We start from the raw sequence: 19,666 nt of genomic DNA, 5'->3' as shown, positions 1-19,666 counted from the left end.
TCATAAGATGTGCTTTGAAGCCCTCTCCAGAAAGAGTTGAGAAGAGGGAAATCGTGGATCATAGATGTTGGAAAAGATTGTGGAAGACTTGGAATTGGGCTAAATAAATAAATGATCAAGTATTCTATCTAGTGCACCTTTCTGGGGTATCTCTCCACCTATTGTTGGCTTTGAACTATTTTTAACTCTGTTAGTTGTTGATAACTAGCAATTCAAATGACTCTGATTCATAAACATGCAAATGAGTTGTGTCTAGTAGAGAGATAATTGATTTTCTGTTCATTCCCCACCCCCAAGAAGCCAATTTGCATCTATTTGTAATTTAGTCTCAGCATTCTTTTTGCCTACATATATGGAATTCTTTGAATTTTCTTTTGACACTATTGGCATATGTTGCTGGTTCTCTAATTAATATATTAAATAATTTTTTTTTTTGAGACAGAGCCTCGCTCTTGTCACCCAGGCTGAGTGCAGTGGCTCAATCTTGGCTCACTACAACCTCTGCCTCCTAAGTCCTAGTGATTCTTCTGTCTCAGCCTCCTGAGTAGCTGGGATTACAGTTGCCCACCACCATGCCTAGCTAATTTTTGTATTTTTAGTAGAGATGGGGTTTTGCCGTGTTGCCCAAGCTGGTCTCAAACTCCTGGCCTCAAGAGATCCACCAGCCTCAGCCTCCCCAAATGTTGGGATTATAGATATGAGCCACCACACCAGGCTTTAAATAAAATCTTTAATATGTGTTCATTTTATATTGGTATGAATTATGATTTTACCTTAAGCAACAACACACTGTCTTTTAACACAGGGCAGGGGAGTTTTAAAGGGTGATCATAAATTGTTCCTAAGGATTGTTTTGGATCACAAAAAAGAGAGGCTGGCTACTTTTTGATTTGGCTTGATTAATTTACATAGGCTGAGTAAGATGTCTTAATTAAACATATGAGCCTCTCTGAGTGTGGTTAACCAATCTAGACTTACATGGTGCTGAACAATTATAAGACCAGAGAATTAATTTCTGTCTAGAAGTTTCATAAAGAATCTCAGGTGACATTTTCAATAGCCTCTGTTATTCTAAAGATTAAACAAAACAGCCTTATTAGTTCTTATATTCTGACACTAGAAAACCAACCCAAAGAGATTTTCCTCACAGCTGTCCCCTGCAGTGCCTATAACTAGGTTGGCTTCTTTCCTCCTCCACATCCCAGCAATCTGGGCTAAGCTTCCTAACTCTACTTCCCTTAAGTCTAGGAACTAGATAGCCACAGATCAGGTAGCAGCCCATTTCCTAGGAAAAATGTGTGGGCATTGCTTCCACATATGAAGTACAATCCTTATTATTTTTATTTTAAGCTTTGGTAGAGATGAGATCTGGCTATATTGCTTGAGCTGGTCTTGATTTCCTGGGCTCAAGTGATCCTCCCACGTCGGCTTCCCAAAGTTCTGGTATTGCAGGCATGAGCCACTGTGCCAGACCAACAATCCTTATTCTTTAATGGTGGACTTGTCACCACCCTTGGAGCCTAAAGCACCAGTAGAGAATCAAGAATAATTCTAAGAATTTCCAAAGAAATGAAATTTGTGAAATTTCCCTCATCAGTTCAGCACATCCTGCTCTCACTTATGTCTTGTTCTGCTGCCTTGCGGGTTTTCCTGAAAGTACTCTGCTTCTGAACTAACAAAGACCCTTGATATCCTGACTGAGTTCTCTAGTACAGCTTCATGATTGCCTAAGTAATGTTGAGTTGGGCTCCAAAGCCTGTACTCATGAGTTGATTTCTTAAAATATCAATAGTTATGGGTACCTGGTTTAGTTCATTCCATCAGGCTCTAAGACTGTTTTTGTCGAAGATCTATTTTATTTCTTTTTTCTTTTTCTTTTTTTTTTTTTGAGATGGAGTTTCACTCTAGTTACCCAGGCTGGAGTGCAATGGCAAGATCTCCACTCACTGCAATCTCCGTCTCCTGGGTTCAAGGGATTCTCCTGTGTCAGCTTCCCAGGTAGCTGGGATCACAGGTGTGTGCCACCATGCCCAGCTAATTTTTTAGTAGAGACAGGGATTCACCATGTTTGGTCAGGCTGGTCTTGAACTTCTGACCTTAGGTAATCAACCCACCTTGGCATCCAAAGTGTTGGGATTACAGGCTTGAGCCATCGTGTCCGGCCCAAAGACTTGTTTTCTATCTTGAGGCTCATAAGCTTTCAGGTGAGTAAGTGGGAAAAGCAGAAATCATCTCTTGATGATAAGACTAAATGACAGCCAAGTGATCTCAGCTCACTGCCACCTCTGCCTCCCAAGTTCAAGTGATCCTCCTGCCTCAGCCTCCTGAGTAGTTAGGACTAGAGGCATCCACCACCATGCCCCACTAATTTATTTTTATTATTATTATTTTTTAGATGGAGTCTTGCTCTGTTGCCAGGATGGAGTGCAGTGGCACAATCTTGGCTCACTGCAACCTCCACCCCCCAGGTTCAAGTGATTCTCCTGCCTCAGCCTCCTGAGTAGCTGGAACTATAGGTGTGTGCCACCACACCCAGCTAATTTTTATATTTTTAGTAGAGATGGGGTTTCACCATGTTGGCCAGGTTGGTCTCGATCTCTTGACCTCGTGATCCACCGTCCTCGGCCTCCAAAAATGCTGAGATTACAGGCGCGAGCCACCTTGCCTGGCCACTAATTTTTGTATTTTTAGTAGAGATGGAGTTTTGCCATGTTGGCCAGGCTGGTCTAGAACTCCTGACCTCAGTGACCCACCCGCCTCGGCAAATCCCAAAGTGCTGGGATTGCAGGCGTGAGCCACCACGCCCAGCCCATCATTCTTTCTTAAGTGTTTGACCAATGTTTTCTCTGGGCATAAGAACATACTGTGAATAGCAAAGGCACTGACAAATCTTCAGAGTCTTTCAATCTGCTTTGCAAAAGTGTACAATCTATAAAATATATTTATATTAATAATGTTTTATCTATACAACATTAACCTAAGGAAGGCTGAGTTTCTCCTTTATTTAACAACTTTTCTCAAACAACTCTCTTTTATTTAACAGCTTTTGCCATGATATGGAGCTACTTAAGAAATATGGAGTTTACTAGAATTCCTCATTATTTCTGGCACTTCTCTTTTGATAAGATGTGGTAGGCGAAATAATGGGTCCACCAAAGATCTTCATGTCCTAATCCCCAGAATGTATGGATGTGTTAGTTTACATGGCCAAAGGGATATTGCAGGTGTATGATTAAGCTTAGAATCTTGAGATGGAAATTATCCTGGATTATTGAGGTGGGCCAGTATAAAACCTCTTTATATAAGGGTTATATAAAATGTAAGAGAGGAGAATGTGGTGGGATAATAGAAGCAGAGATTGGAGTGATTTACTTTGGAGATGGAGGAAGTGTTCACAATCCAAGGAATACAGACAGCCACTAGAAGCTGGTAAAGGCAAGAATATGAATTATCCCCTCGGATCCTGCAGAAGGACCCAGCCTCACCAACACCTTGATTTTAGCATATTGAAACATTTCTGACTTCTGACTTCCAGGACTGGAAGAGAATAAAATTTGTGTTGTTTTAAGCCACTAACTTTGTGGTAATGTGCAAAAGCAGCAATAGGAAACTAATGCATAAATTTATAAAAACCACAAATATTTGTGATTTCTCAGGACCCCTCAGGAAAAATCCCAAAGGTAGTTTAGGTATAAAAGACATCTTGAAATTTTTTTCCCCTCAATTTTAGAATCTGATCTTGAAGAGACAAAAATCAAAAGAGCTATCAGAGGAAATTTACTAAAATAAAATCATAGATGCTGCAGTACATGAATAGTTTTAGCTGGGCTATGTATTAATCAAAGTGACAATGAAATATATTAAAGTAAATGCAGAAGTTATCATGATATTAATTCTGTCAGTGAGTTTTTTTTTTTTAAATCGAGGACATTACTAATTCAGCCAAGGGAAAGAAAATGATTCTAGTGACACATGGAATCTCTGCTACCTGAGAAGATTACAGAATAACCCTTCTTACCCCTTGATAAGAGCAGACAAAATACTTCACGATCAATTTTAATGGAAAGAAGACCAAATTCTGATTTTATATTAAGATTATATTTGGCTGTAAAGGATTCACAGAATTCTTTCTGTTTTTTTAAAATTTAGGAATTCTTTAATCAAAACTAAGCCAACTTTGCCAAATTTTTAACATGTGTCATGCTTATTTTTTCATTAATTATTAGTATTTATTATAAAGCAAGGCCACAAAATCATTTTTCACATTCTTCTATAATTGTACATATCTATTCAAGTTTTAATCTTCCCAATCTTTGTTCATGTTCTGGAGCAAGATACTTAATTTTAGGACAAAATTCTTTCTTTTTTTTCGTTGTAAACACTCCATTACCTTTTATCCAAAGTTATATTTCTCTGCCTCTCTTTTTCTAGCAGTCTTAGTCACACATATTAATTTTAACTTTTTTTTTTTTTTTTTTGAAATGGAATCTCACTCTTGTTGCCCAGGCTGGAGTGCAATGGTGTGATATTGGCTCACCACAACCTCTGCCTCCCGGGTTCAAGCGATTCTCCTACCTCATCCTCCTGAGTTGCTAGGATTATAGGCATGCACCACCATGCCCGGCTAATTTTGTATTTTTAGTAGAAATGGGGTTTCTCCATGTTGGTCAGGCTGGTCTTGAACTTCTGACCTCAGGTGATCTGCCAGCCTTGGCCTCCCAAAGGGCTGGGATTACAGGTGTGAGCCACTGTGCCTGGCCATTAACTTTAACTTTTAACTCAAGTAAGTAAAGTAAGCAAACTTCATTGCTGTCTTACTTTCAGACAGCCACAGCCACCTCAACCTTCAGCCACCACCACTCCAATCAGTTAGCAGCCATCAGCGTCAAGGCAAGATCCTCCATCTGCAAGATTAGTACTTGCTGAAAGCTCAGCAAGTTACTTACTTTAGTTAACTTTTAACTAAATAAGTGTTCTGTTCACTTTCTAAAATGCTCAAATTTTAGAAAGTCAGTGGAAGACACTCAATATGATTTTCTATAATCATATGTATCATTTTATCACATTCTTAAAATGGCAAAAATGATGCCTTCTTTAACACAGAGTTTTCAATTTTGACTTCAGGGAATACAGACATGTCTTGGAGATATTATGGGTTTGGTTTCAGACCACCACAATAAAATGACTATAGCAGTAAGGAGAGTCACATGAGTTTTTTGGTTTCTCAGTGCATATAAAAGTTATGCCTACACAAGATTGTAGTTTATGAAGTGTACAATAGAATTATTTATAAAAACAATGTACATATCTTAACTTAAAAATACTTTATTGTTAAAACTTGCTAATGATCATCTGAGCCTTCAGCAAGTCTTAATCTTTTTGAGGGTGGAGGGTCTTGCCTTGATGCTGATGGTTGCTGACTGATCAGGGTGGGGTGGCTGTTGCTGTCTGAAAGTAAGACAGCAATGAAGTTTCCTCCACTGATTGACTCTTCCTTTTGCGAAAGATTTCTCTGTAGCATGAGATGCCATTTGATAGCATTCTATTCACACAAAATTGAAGTCAGTCCTCTCAAACCCTGCTGTTGCTTAATCAACTAAGTTTACGAACTATTCTACATTTTTTGTTGTCATTTCAACAATATTCACAGCATCTTCACCAGGAGTAGGCTTCATCTCAAGAAACTACTTTCTTGCTTATCCATAGGAAGCAACTCCTCATCTGTTTTACCATGAGATTGCAGTAATTCCGTCACATCTTCAGGCTGTACATCTACTTTAGTTCTCTTGCTGTTTCCACTGCATCTGTAGTGATTTCCTCCATTGAAGTCTTGAAACCTCTTGAAGTCACCCAGGGGGTTGGAATCAACTTCTTTCAAACTCCTGTTATTGTTGTCATTTTGACCTCCTCCTATGAATCACAAATGTTCATAATGGCATCTAAAATGGTGACTCCTTTCCAGAAGGTTTTCAATTTACTTTGCCCAGTTCCATAAGAATCACTATCTATGGCAGCTAAAACCTTATGAAATATATTTCTTTAATAATAAGACTTGAAGGCTGAAATGAATTGTTGATCCATGGGCCACAGAATGGATGCTGTGTTAGCAGATGTGAAAACAACGTTACTCTCCTTGTACACATCCATCAAACTCTTAAATGACCAGTTGCATTGTCAATGAGCAGTAATATTTTGAAAGGGACCTCTTTTTCTGAGAAGTAGGTCTCAACAGTGGGCTTAAAATATTCAATAAACCATTTTATAAATAGATATGCTCTTATCAGGGATTGTTGTTTCATTTTTAGAGCACAGGAAGAGTAGATATAGCATAACTCCTAGGATTTTCAGAATGGCAAGTGAGCATTGGCTTCAACTTAAGGTCACCAGTTGCATCCATCCCTAACAAGAGAGTCAGCCTATCCTTTGAAGCTCTGAAGCCAAACATTGACTTCTCCTCTCTATGAAAGTCCTAGACGGCATCGTCTTCCAATAGAAGGATGTTTCATCTACATTTAAAATCTGTCATTTAGGCTGGATGCGGTGGCTCACACCTGTAATCCCAACACTTTAGGAGGCCAAGGTGGGCAGATTACTTGATGCCAGGAGTTCGAGACCAGCCTGGCCAACATGGTGAAACCCTGTCTCCACTAAAAGCACAAAAATTAGCCAGGCATGGTGGTGGGCACCTGTAATCCCAGCGACTTGGGTTGGGGGGTGGTGAGGCTGGAGAATTGCTTGCACCTGAGAGGCGGAGGTTGCAGTGAGCCGAGATTGCACCATTGCACTCCAGCCTGGGTGGCAGAGTAAGACTTTGTCTCAAAGAATACAATAAAATAAAAAAACCTGTTACTTAGCACAGCCACCTTCATCAATTATTTTAGCTATATCATCTCATAACTAGCTGCAGCTTCTCCATTAGCACTTGTGCTTCACCTTGTATCTTTTTGCTACAAAGACGTCTTCTTTCCTTAAACTTATGAGCCTATCTCTGCTAGCTTCCAACCTTCTTCTGCAGCTTCCTCACCCCTCTCAGCCTTCACAAAATTGCAGAGAGTTAGGACCTTGCTCTGGAATGGGCTTTGGCTTAAGGGAATGTTGTGGCTGGTTTGATCTATCCAGACTCCTCAAACTTTTCTCCCTATCAGCAATATGGCTGTTTTGCTTTTTCATCATTTGCTTGTTTGCTGGAGTAGCACTTTTAATTTCCTTCAAGAACTTTTTCTATGTCTTCACAACTTGGCTAATTGGTGTAAGAAGCCTAGATTTTAGCCTGTCTCAGCTTTTGACATGTCTTTGTTACCAAGCTTAATCGTTTCTAGCATTTGACTTAAAGTGAGAGACATGCAACTCTTCCTTTAACTTGAATACTTACAGGCCATTGTAGGGCTCTTAATTAGCCCAATTTCAATATTGTTGTGTCTCAGGGAATAGGGAGGCCCAGGGAGAGGTGGGAGAGAGAGAGAGAGAGAGAGACAGAGAGAGAGATATGACAGAAAGATCAATTGTTGAAACAGTCAGAATACATATATGTATGTGTATATACATATACACATACATATAGACATGCATATTCATAGATATGTGAAAAACTATGCTTGCTGACCAATGTTTTAGTATTCTCCTAGTAGAAATTATCCAGATATCCAAAGATTATTCATTAACTCAAGTTAATAGTCTATGTTCCTCATGTTAACTAAGGATCTTGAAAATTATGTGAAAACTGATGCACTATAGACCATAATCACTGTTGATGTAAAAAACATCAGAATATAACCATGCTTAATTGAATACATAATTTTGTATTTTTCATAATTCAAAACTTTATGTGAAAGTATGTTGGTTTGTCTGATTAGTAAAATAGCATAAGAGTTTTCAGGAATTCAGATTAAATAGTGTATTCAAGAGAAAACAGAGATTTATTGTGATAAGTTTTATTATATTATATTCTACATAGATAAAGTCAGACAGAAGACAAATAGCTGTTTTTAAACTAAAGTGATTAAACAAGTTTAATATGTCTAAAGAGTCATTTTGATTACATAAACCTGGATTCTCATATAATAATGTTTCTGAAACAGCAGTTTCTGATTTTCATTTGTTCGTTTGTTGGGGATGCAGGACAAAGCATATTTAAAGTATTAGAACTTTAGTTTTTTTCTAGGCATTCTGGGAATATTAGATTTATGTAAAGATTTATTATTCTCTGTAAAACAACCAGAACAGAGCTTTTGTGAGGCTTTATAGTCTATTTTATTAATACATTCCAAGTGTAGTTCAATATTTCAAGCTCACATAACAAGAGAAAAAGGGTTACAAATTATCTGGACTAAGAGGTCACTGCTTCAGTTCTACAACATCAGCCAGAGGTTAAAGGTAAACCCAGAATCACAACTGACAGTCTCAGATCTCAAAGAGTGGTTCCCCTTTCCAGCGGGAACATCTTAACATTGATTTGAGCTAACCAATAGTCTGACAATAAACAAAAGTTTAACAAACCAGATCTACTTCTGACCCAATCTGTATCATCCATTTGGGCACATTGGTGGGGAACCACTCTAAACTGTCAAAATCATCTTCAAAATATTAACACGTGATTGTCATACAAATATAAAATGAGCACACATTAAAGATTTATTTAAGTCATTGGTGAAGGAACCAGCAGGGTGATAAAGCCAGCTCAAAATGCTTTTGAGGTATTGAGTATTTAAAGGCAGTGAAGACAGAATGTTGGAATAAGATTACTAGGTTAGATAGAAACTGATTTATGTCTGATAGCACAATAAAAACATAACCTTTGGGTTTTTTTTTAAAATTCTGCACATAATTCATTTCATCACTATCAGATAAAAATCTCCAAGTTACCATGTAACTGCACCGAGTCTAGACCCTAATCAGTAGTACATAGTATGACAGAAAAAGATTCAAGGATTCACTCTCCTGAAGAACTAAATAATCCCTACATGGGCATATCATGCCAATGATTCAATATGCCATTGAATTAAGACGAGCAGCCATCCTTTTATAGTAATTCTTCTTATCCACAGCGGAATATGTTCCAAGGCCCCCAGTCGATGTCTGAAACTGTAGATAGTACTAAACCTTACATAGGCTATTTATTTTTCCTATGCTACATACCTATGATAAAGCTTAATCTATGAATTAGGCATAGGAGGTAGGAGATTAACAACAATAACTAATAATAAAATCGAATAATTATTATGTGCCGGCATCACTACACTTGTGCTTTGGGGCCATTATGAAGTAAAGTAAGTGTTACTTGACCACAAACACTGCAGTACAATGACATGATCTGATCACAAAGTGACAAAGTGACTAATGGGTGGGGAACATAGTGTGTAACTGCTGGACAAAGGGACAATTCCCATCCTGGGTGTGATGCAGTAGGACAGTGCAAGACTTAATCATACTTCTTAGGATGGCATGCAATTTAAAACATATGCATTGTTTATTTATGAAATCTTCCATTTAATATTTTCAGACTGTGGTTGATCCCAGATAATTGAAACTGTAGAAAGTGAAACTTAGGTAAGTGGGGACTATTGTACCTTATTTTCAAGTTTTTGTTAATTTTCTTAATATAAGTTGCTGTTACAGTAGGCTCCAGGGAACTTGCATGGACTTGTAGATTTCCACATTCAGGAGGGAAAGGTGTCTTTCCTGCATTCAACACAAATATTTGACATTTATTACGTACCAGGCACTGTACTAGTATGGCCCTGGATGTATAGCCATGAGCAAAACATACAAAAGTCTCTGATGGCCCTAATATTCTAGTAGGGGGAGGTGGGTGATAAGCCAGATGTATTCTGTATCAGCGGGAGATAAGGGCTGTGGCATATGTGCCCTTTTAGGAATGGTGACCCAGAAAGCACTCATGGAAGTGACATTTGAGTAAAGATCTGAAGGAGATGAGACATTGATGAATTTCTATCTGGCCCTAACCCTGCTTAAGAAACAGGACACCGGTGATAAAAATTTCCCTTTGTAACCAGGCCGGTTGAGACTGGTTAGAACCAAGATAACTGACCCAAAAACTTCAGCAAGACCTCAGGCTTCATTATAATCTCATTGCCATGCTAGATGAAACTCCTATCAGCACCATGACTGTTGATAATTGGCATGACAACAACCGGAAGAAGCCATGAAAGGACAGACAGGAAGGTGGCGCTCTGGTTCCGGAAAGTTCACCTCCCATTTCTGGAAAGATATGAATATGCTTCCCTTCACTTTTAAGGTCCAACCCCTTCGTTAGAGAAACCCTATATTTTAACCCACTCCTTAGTCAAGTTGACTTGTGAGCCTTTCTCCTGCTTCTGAATTCCATGGCCAGCAAATAAAGCCTGCACTGCTTAACACTCACTTTCAGTTTTATGTATTGGCTTTGTGACACCAAATGGGGAAAGATCTCATCTGTTGGGGGACTGGCTTTGTGAGTAACAGGAGAGTGCCAAAGTGTCACACAGGAAGAAGGAGTCGATGCTATCCTCCAGATTTCTCCTGAGTTTTGGAAACTTAGGAGAGAGAAACCCCTCACAGCCAGGGGTGGGCCTGGATGCCACTTGAGGCAGAGCTTTGGTCTTGTCACCGTCATCGTCTATGGTTCTAAAAAATTTGGTAAGGTTTGGGTTTGGTTGTAGCTTGTAGGAGACTTGGGGCTCACACTAATTACTTGTGATTTTTTACTTATAGATTATATTAGTTTTGAGTGCCAAAAATACTTAAATGACAAAATAATAATCAGATTCTCTTAGGAGTTTAATTTTTTTAGTGGAGTTTAAAAATTTTTTGACACTTGTATTTTTAATTGATAAAAGATAATTTATGGGGTCTATATTTGTGGGTTATGATGTAGTGTTTCAACATATCAATACATTGTGGAATGATCCCAAAGGTCTCTCCTTTTCCTCTTCTTCCCTGTGCCCCAACCAGCCTCTAGTAACCACCGTTCTATCCTCTACTTTTTTGAGTTCTACTTTTTTAGATTCCACATATAAATCAGATTCTTTTATGGACCTTAAAGTGATGCAATGACATGAATGCTATGTCATTCCTGCCTCAACCTGTTTCAGAAAAACAAAACAAAACAAAACAAAAATAGTAATTAAAAGTATGTACTCAAAACTACACCATGCCTTAGTCTTCCCTCATTTCTGGAAGTAAAGTGCACCTGTCATTGATTTGGGTCTTAAAAATCCCTATTTTTTCCATAATTTAATTTCATTTCTACAGGTGAAGTACCGCTAATGATATGTATGTCAGGCAGACAAGAGTGGAAATATTAATTGCCAGTGCTTCGGTCCAATTTTTATGCCGGCAAGAAATGTCAGTGATAGGCAGCATGCACTTCTTTTGATGCTGGTGAGTCAGCAGTACAGAGGGCTTGAATAGAAGCAACCCAAGTACATGATGGGAGATACTTGGGTGTAATTGGCAATGTTGGTAGTGTAGTGAACCAATTAGTTTGATAACATGAGGAAGATCTCTCAGAAGAGCATATTATCTTAAAAATACTAATGAAACAAAGTAGTCTTAAAATAGCTGGGTGCGGTGTCTCACGCCTGTACTCCCAGCACTTTGGGAGGCCAAGGTGGGCGGATCGCCTGAGGTTGGGAGTTCAAGACCAGCCTGGCCAACATGGTAAAACCCCGTATCTACTAAAATACAAAAATTAGTTGGGTGTGGTGGTGCATGCCTGTAGTCTCGGCTACTAGGGAGTCTGAGGCAAGAGAGTTACTTGAACGTGGGAGGCAGAGGTTGCAGTGAGCCGAGATGGCACCACTGCACTGCAGCCTGGGCAACAGAGCAAGACTCTGAATCAACAACAACAACAACAAACAGGCCCTTTGCATCTTTGAGTATAATTTTTCAGAAGCATCAGGTTGCAGCCTCTGCAGTGTCATGGTAGTAGTGGATCTGAGTCAGCAATCCAAGGGGATTTTCAATTTCAGTTAAAATTCCTGCTTGACATTAACCTCTTTTCTCCTCCCTCTTTTTTTTTTTTTTTTTCAAATCAAACGGACTCAGTTATTTGTGTACTTAAAAGATTATAAACTTCTCATAGGCACCTGTGTAGTACTTAGCATATCACAGGTATGCAACCAAAGTTTGCAGAATTGAATAACAAAGGGTGGAGGAATGTGCCACCCCCAAATATGCCACTTTGGCATAGTATTATTTTGAGCTGAAAGCAATTGAGAAAAAACAGATACAAGAAAAGCGCCCTGCCTTCCCCCAGTTTTTCTAAAAGCAAGACATAAATTTGTACAGGTGTCTCCTTTCTCCTCTCTACCAAAGAGGAAGTTAATCACCAGAGACAACTCTAGATGCTTGTCAGCTTTCAGATGTTTGACTGCACAGGGAATCTACATAACAAACCTTACTAACTAGCTCTTATCTTCCATCAGTTTCCCTCATATATTTGTTTGTTGCCCTAGATTTTTTTTTTTTTTTTTTTTTTTTGATAGAGATGGAGTCTCCCTATGTTGCCTAGGCTGATCTTGAACTCCTGGGCTCTAGTGATTCTCCAGCCTCAGTCTCCCAAAGTGCTAGGATACAGGCATGAGCCATCAGGCCCAGCCTGCACTAGAAATTCAGTCTTTTTCCTTTGTCTCTCTAAAATTTATTGTTCTTTTGTTGTGATACTATATATACCCAAGTCTTAACCACCTTTATTGAATTACTCATCACTGAGTATTCCCATGTATATGCAAGATGCTCATGTTAAACTTCTGTTTGTTTTTCTCTTGCTATTTCATTGTCAATCTAATTTGCCAGGTCCCAGTTGGAGAACCTATGATGAGTAGAATGTAGAAGAATTTCTTTTCCTCCCCAACAGTAACAGCATTGGCACTAAATCTAACACCACTTACGGACACTGATAATGATAGTAACAGCTACTGACAGCCATGTGGATGGTGCCAGACACTGAAAAGGTGCTCAGTAGGAGTGCTCTTACTTACTCCTCTCAGCCACTTTATGAGGGAAACTTAAAGGTGAATCCATAGCTACAAAGTTAAGTAGTTTGTCCAAAGTTATGTGGCATTTATTAGTCCTAAGCTTGAGGTTTGAATCCTCTTTCTACCACGCTACTTACTCTGACTCCAGATAATCATGGCGGTTTTTCATAACAACTGAAACAAGAAAAAGGAAAAACTATTTTAAAAGTTGTTGCATATTATAATCTTATGTTAAAGCACCAAATAAGGTCGCTCATGGAAAGAACCTTTAGCACAGATTGAAAAACGAGGACTTTTTACTTTTATAGCTGTGTCCCACTTAGAATCACTTTTCATCTAAAAAAAAAAAAGCAATTTCATGAAGTGCTAATTTTAATCAACTTACATCTGCATAAGGACTTCCAGCCTTCTCTTGCATATTCCAGTACATAATTCTCCCCTTTCCAGGCTAGACAGCACTGAAAAGATTTACAACTGGACTCGTGGTTGCATATACCGGTGAAAACATTAAACTGTCCTCTCCCATTTCAAAGACCTTCTCTTTTTCTGATTATTATTTATACAGAAGGCCTTCCTTAGTATAGCAATACATGTTAAATGAAATTAAAAATCAGAGTAAATTTAAGGCTCTTCTGCCTGTGAGAAAAGTTTGCCCATTCTGTTGATTTTCTCCTAATACGGTTATGAATTTCAGCAATTTCTGAGTTGAAGTAAAGAGATCAAACATTTTGTTTTTTTTTTTTACTCTTTGTAATTCTGATATGCTATAGTGGATCCTGCAATGGTTTTCACCACTCGATATAAATGATATAGTTGGACACGGTTGCTTTTGTTAAAGTAGATGGCCTTTACTGCCCTAACATGACTTTATTAAGGCTCAAAAGTGGAGCATTTCTTTTTCCACTCTCAGAAATAACTTCAAAAATACACCTTTTCATTTCAGTGGTTAGGAGCTAGGTAAGTTCTCAGTAGATATAAACCAAAATTCGGTTTTTTTTAGAAGCACGAATCTGCTTTCTAAGGACTCCTGACACCCCATCATGCACTGGAAATCAGAGTCGCTTCTCCATCCTCGTGTCATGAGATTGTACCTGCTCAATATTAGGAGCTCAGGAACCCTTCTAGTTCCTGACATTTAGTGAATGGTGTCCTGGGAATGGTTATGCATAGTTTTCCTCGTTTCAAACATGTATGTTCTCCTCTTCCTTTTCAGGATCCAGGCGCCTTGATGAGATTGATGGGTTTTCTTTCTTTCTTTCTTTCTTTTTTTAAAAAAACATGCGTTTGTGATACCATTTCATTGTTTTCCTGAGCAGATTTCATTGTTTGTTTGCTCCAGCCATGGAATTCAGTAGACTGAACATAAGTTAAGTCTCAGAAATCATACCTTTGAAAAATCATCCTGATTCCTCCCCTGTCTGAGTCATAGAACACAGGTCTCCTCCAAAAATGGTCCTTCTCCCAGGCTCCTCAAGGTTTCTCTGATCCTTACTCTCTCTCTTTCCCCATTCAGTTCTCCTTTTGTGTACACAGACTCACAGAGGCATGTACAGGTATTCTGCCTTTGTTTCTCTTTCTCTCCCTGTTGCCCCAAACTTCTGAGTGGTCACTGACAGGTATTGAGTGGCTCTTGATGCACCCCTCCCTTCATGGTGGTGGTGAGATATTTAACCAGTTGAGGACAGACATCACTGAGGGACTGGAAGAGGAAGGAGTTTGTGTTGCAGGCATAACTAAAAAATCAATCAGGTAATTTCTGGTGGACAGCATGTATACCCAAAAGTGATTTAGCCTGGTTTATCTTTATTCCCAAGGACTAGTCCTTTAAATATAAACCTCTTTAGAAGGTTTAAGACACCAACATGATTCTTCACTAAAGCTCCAGATAAATGATGCCCCACCTGTGTTTACAAAGGCAATAAAAATAGACTACAGGGTGGTTACCTGGTCAATTTAACAAATCGGAATGAATTGTTTTTAAACTTGTCTTTAAATTTGTCTTTAGGAAGATAAATTTAATTCTCTCTTTTCCAAATGTGGATTCTTAGTATCTTCATGATCTTAATTCAAGTTCTTCATCACTCAGAGGTCAATATATGGTATGCTTCTTTTTCTTTTTTTTAAATAAGAAATCTACATTTAAAAAACCATTTTAGATGAACTTTACAATGTGTAAGAAATTTGAACAAAAATTTGGTTATTTTGTTTACCAATGCCATTGAAGCAGCTAATTGTGAATATGCTGGGAGATGGGCCATTTCCAATTCAAATGGGTAATCATAGATATTTGGGAGAGATCCTTGCCAAGCTGTGATAGGAAGATAATAGCCATCACCAAGCATCATTAGGCATTTACAGTTTTATTTAAATAAGACAATAAGCTTATGTTTTCTGGACATAAATACTTATACAGAACAAGCATCTGTTCGTTTGACATTTAAGTTACATTAGTTACAACTACCATTTATTATGAGTTTTACATGTACATTATTGGCAGGCTAAATACCTTCATCATTCCCATTTTATAGATGAGAAAACCAAGGTACATGTATTTCGTTTTCTTCTCTATATTGTTTATGTGAGTCAAAGCTTTTATTTTTTTTAATTTTTTCATTTGTGAAATCATGTATATTGGAACCTTTGGAGTTGAATAGGGCTTAGTGAGTTAATGGACTATGTGATATATTTATTAAATCAAAAGAAAAGCACTCTAAATATATAACTTTATGCACAACATAATTAGAAATGGTAATCTCTTATCCTGTTTTTGGAGGCTCAACAGATAGTAAATGAAAAATCCTCCAATGCACAATGTACTATAGACATAAACAGGAGTGGAAATACATTTGTTTACTGCACTGAGTTTTACATACCCTGATGAAAGAGTATTTTACAAAAAAACTGACTTTAAATTTTAAAAATTCTTTTACTTATTTTACTCCATTTTGCCTTTTTGAAACCATAATGCATGAAAAATTATAAAAAATTTTAAAAATATGCAAAATCAAAAAACTAGTTTGCTTTCTACTATATCTTATCCTACCCAGTTTTCCTTCCTGAAGTCAACCACTGTAACGAGTGTAATCAATATACTGTGTATTCTTCCACAAAACTTTATGCAGAAAATATTAGCAGGACATACAAACTGCTTCTCACCTTATTTTTTTTCTGCTTGGCAATATATCTGATAGATTGTTCCAAATCAGTTCATAAGTTGTTTTTCATCTTTTCGACAACTGAAAATATTTTATTGTCTGAACAAATCATAATATATCTAGCTTGTCTTAGACTTAAACATCTTTCCCGATGAAGAAACAAAAAGACTCTCATTTTGTTTTCTCTGTTTTTTTCATGTGCTAGGGTTTGACTTTACCTAGACACTCACGTCACTTCTCTGCTCCACTATTCCTGAACAAACACAGCATGTATGACATGGATTTGCTTTTCCATATTTGCACAGTATCACATCTGCTTGCTAACTTGCTTTGACAATGAGTAGAGAATTTGGGATCTTTGTCATAATCTGCTGAAAACCAAATTGAGGTTTGGTGATCCTGGGGTCTTGAACCAACACGTCATTTAAGTAATTTTCATTCTGTCAGTCCTGTCCAGGAGGAATTCAGTTTTTTTCCACAACAATCTCTGTCTGGATGAATGGTTTAATCTATACAATTTTAAATAAATCTGTTTATTAAATCTAATAATGAGCTTTGTCAGAGTCAGCATATAAATATTATTATGTAAATATCTGCATTATGAAAATGCACTGAAACTTATTCTTTAATTCAACAAAAATACATTGAGTGCACTATTACAGGTGTTCAGCTAGGTATGGAGATACAAAGATAAATAGGGTATGGTTTTTGCCCTCAAAGGCAAAATTTATATCATAAAATTTCAGAAGCATATAAAAAGAGGTAACTTCTAGTATTTTGAAGGTAGAGGCTTGGTGTTGTCTTATGGGGTTTTACATTTGTTGAAAACTTACATACGTTAAATTTACTATGTTAAAAGTAATTGGGGTCTAGTTAGGTTATCTGATCTTCAAACACCTAAATGATTATAGTCCTCCAGACCAGACCAATCATGCAGGGAATTACCTTGAGGCAATGGTAGCTTCTAAGGGCACTATGAAGCATGTTATCTCAGAGATCAAAGAGCAGAAAGGTTTAGGGACCAATTAAGATACTTGTATCATAGTTTACTGAATCAATTTGAAAAACACAATGAGAGGCAAGGGTAAGGAGATAGGGTAAGTTAACATTCTTAGATTAAGTCCAAGTGGACGAAAGGAACACAGTACCTGAGTCCTAGATATCATAATGTTCATATATCTTCTCTCTTTCTCTTACTTGCCAATGCTGAGAAAATGGATAAAAAATGAGTGATGTCAGCCTTCCTTGCCAATAATGTGATTTTGAGAACCAGAGGTGAGGTTTAAGCTACAGGTTCACAGACAAAAGGAGTCCTGAGCCAATGATACATGCTTGTTCTACACAAGTGCACATAGGCCAGAATAAGACCAGAGTGGGTATCGTCAATAGGTGGCTGAATTTGAGGGTGACATAGCTGTCATCCTAGAGGTACTATGATTTGATTTTTCCATCTATTTCTATCTGATCTTAAACAAAACTCCTTTGTGCACCATTGTATTTTCAGTTTATTCTATTGATCAATGATTGGCAGGCCTTACACGTTACTCTGTCTATATATAACATGCCACATTAATTTTACCAATGTCTCACAAGTTACTTGCTTACCCATTATCTATACTTAACGCATTGTCTGAGTTTCACATATTTTTATAACTTTTTCTAAATATGCCTAATAATTCTTATGAATTCAGTCCATCCGGTTTCTTTTCTTGTCTTCTATAGCAGAATTGAATACTCTTAAGCAGTACAGAAAATGCACATTTGTAAGACCTTATTCTTGAATTCCAATCCATGTTCCACATGGTGTTGGCCTTAATTTCAATAGTTCCAAACTGAATTTACTGTCTTTCACTCTAAAAGCCTTTTTGGTTGTTCTCTACAATGATGAATAGTATGAATTTTCCCCCAATCATAAAGTTATCTTTGCTTGTTTCCTCTTTATCAGAATCACTAACACCTGTTGCTCTTTTCTTCAGTCTTTTCTCTTCTCTCCTTTCCCACTGCCACAGATTTAGTCCCAGGTTTTCATAATTTCTCTTTGGAGCTATTAAAATAATATATTAATTAGTTTATCTGTTCAAAGACTCTTCCACTTGCTGCCAGCTATTTTTCTCCAATACAATCTGATTCCTGATTCCCTGTCCAGTATCCTCTCAATATGGTTAGGCTTTGTGTCCCCACCCAAATCTCATTTTGAATTGTAACCCTCATAATCCCCATGTGTTGAGGGAGATAGCTGGTGAGAGGTGACTGGATCACGGGGGCAGTTTCCCCATACTCTTCTCATGATAGTGAGTGAGTTCTCATGAGATCTGATGGTTTTCTAGGTGTTTGAAAGTTCCTCCTCCACATGCTCTCTCTCTCTCTCCTGCCACCTTGTAAAGAAGAGGCCTGCTTCCCCTTCTGCTATGATTGTAAGTTTCCTGAGGCCTCCCAAGCCATGTGGAACTGTGAGTCAATTAAACATATTTTGTTTATAAATTACCCAGTTTAGGGCAGTTCTTTATAGCAGTGTGAGAATAGACTAATACACCTCCTATCCCAATCCTTCATCCAGGATTGTTATTTCTCCTAAAAATCATGCATGTTCATATATATGAACACTAGCATGTGTCCTTTTTTATTTTAAAAAAATTACTTTTGTAATATTACAGGTTCACAGGAAAATGCACAAATGATATAGAGAGATCCTAGTGTACTCTTCATCTAGCTTCCCCCAGGTACATATTTTTTTATGTTTGGAACACCCCTCCCTTGCTTAACTACCTGGTGTATATATTTTTTGGTGATGGGGTCTAACTATGTTGACTAGGCTGAAGTGCTGGCTATTCATAGGTGTGATCATAGCTCACTGCAGACCCTAACTCCTGGTCTCAAAAGATTCTCCTTCCTCAGACTTCCACGTAGCTGGGACCACAGGCATGTGGCACTGCACCTTGGTATAATCTCAAATATTTTTTAAGCTCCAGCTCCAATGCCATAATGTTATCTTGACTTCTCCCCATCAGTCTTGAATTAATCACTTCCTTCTTGATGCTGATATTTCCCTCATGACCTTATATCTATCTTCTCTGACAATCCTTTGCCACTATAAGGACAAGAACTATGTTTTATTCATCTTTGAGTCTCTAGCAACTAACTCAAAGCATAGCACATGTTAAGTGCTCAATAAAAATATGTTGAATTTGGCCAGTTGCTGTGGGTCATGCCTGTAATCCCAGCACCTTGGGAGGCCAAGGTGGGTGGATCATAAGGTCAGGAGTTCAAGACCAGCCTGGCCAATATGGTGAAACCCCGTCTCTACTAAAAATACAAAAATTAGCCAGGCATGTGGGTGCCTGTAGTCCCAGCTACTCAGAAGGCTGAGGCTGGAGAATTGCTTGAACCCAGGAGGTGGAGGTTGCAGTGAGCCGAGATCACACCACTGCACTCTGACCTGGGCGACAGGGTGAGACAAAGTCTCAAAAAGAAAGAAAGAAAGAAAAAAAGTAGAATTCAATTTAAATTATATCCCATTTCTAGAAAATAGGATGT

The sequence above is a fragment of the Homo sapiens genome, chromosome 13, assembly GCF_000001405.40.
Source record: "Homo sapiens chromosome 13, GRCh38.p14 Primary Assembly".
Taxonomy (NCBI): Eukaryota; Metazoa; Chordata; class Mammalia; order Primates; family Hominidae; genus Homo; species Homo sapiens.
The sequence above is the reverse complement of the archived record's forward strand: the minus strand, read 5'-3'. Positions refer to the sequence as shown.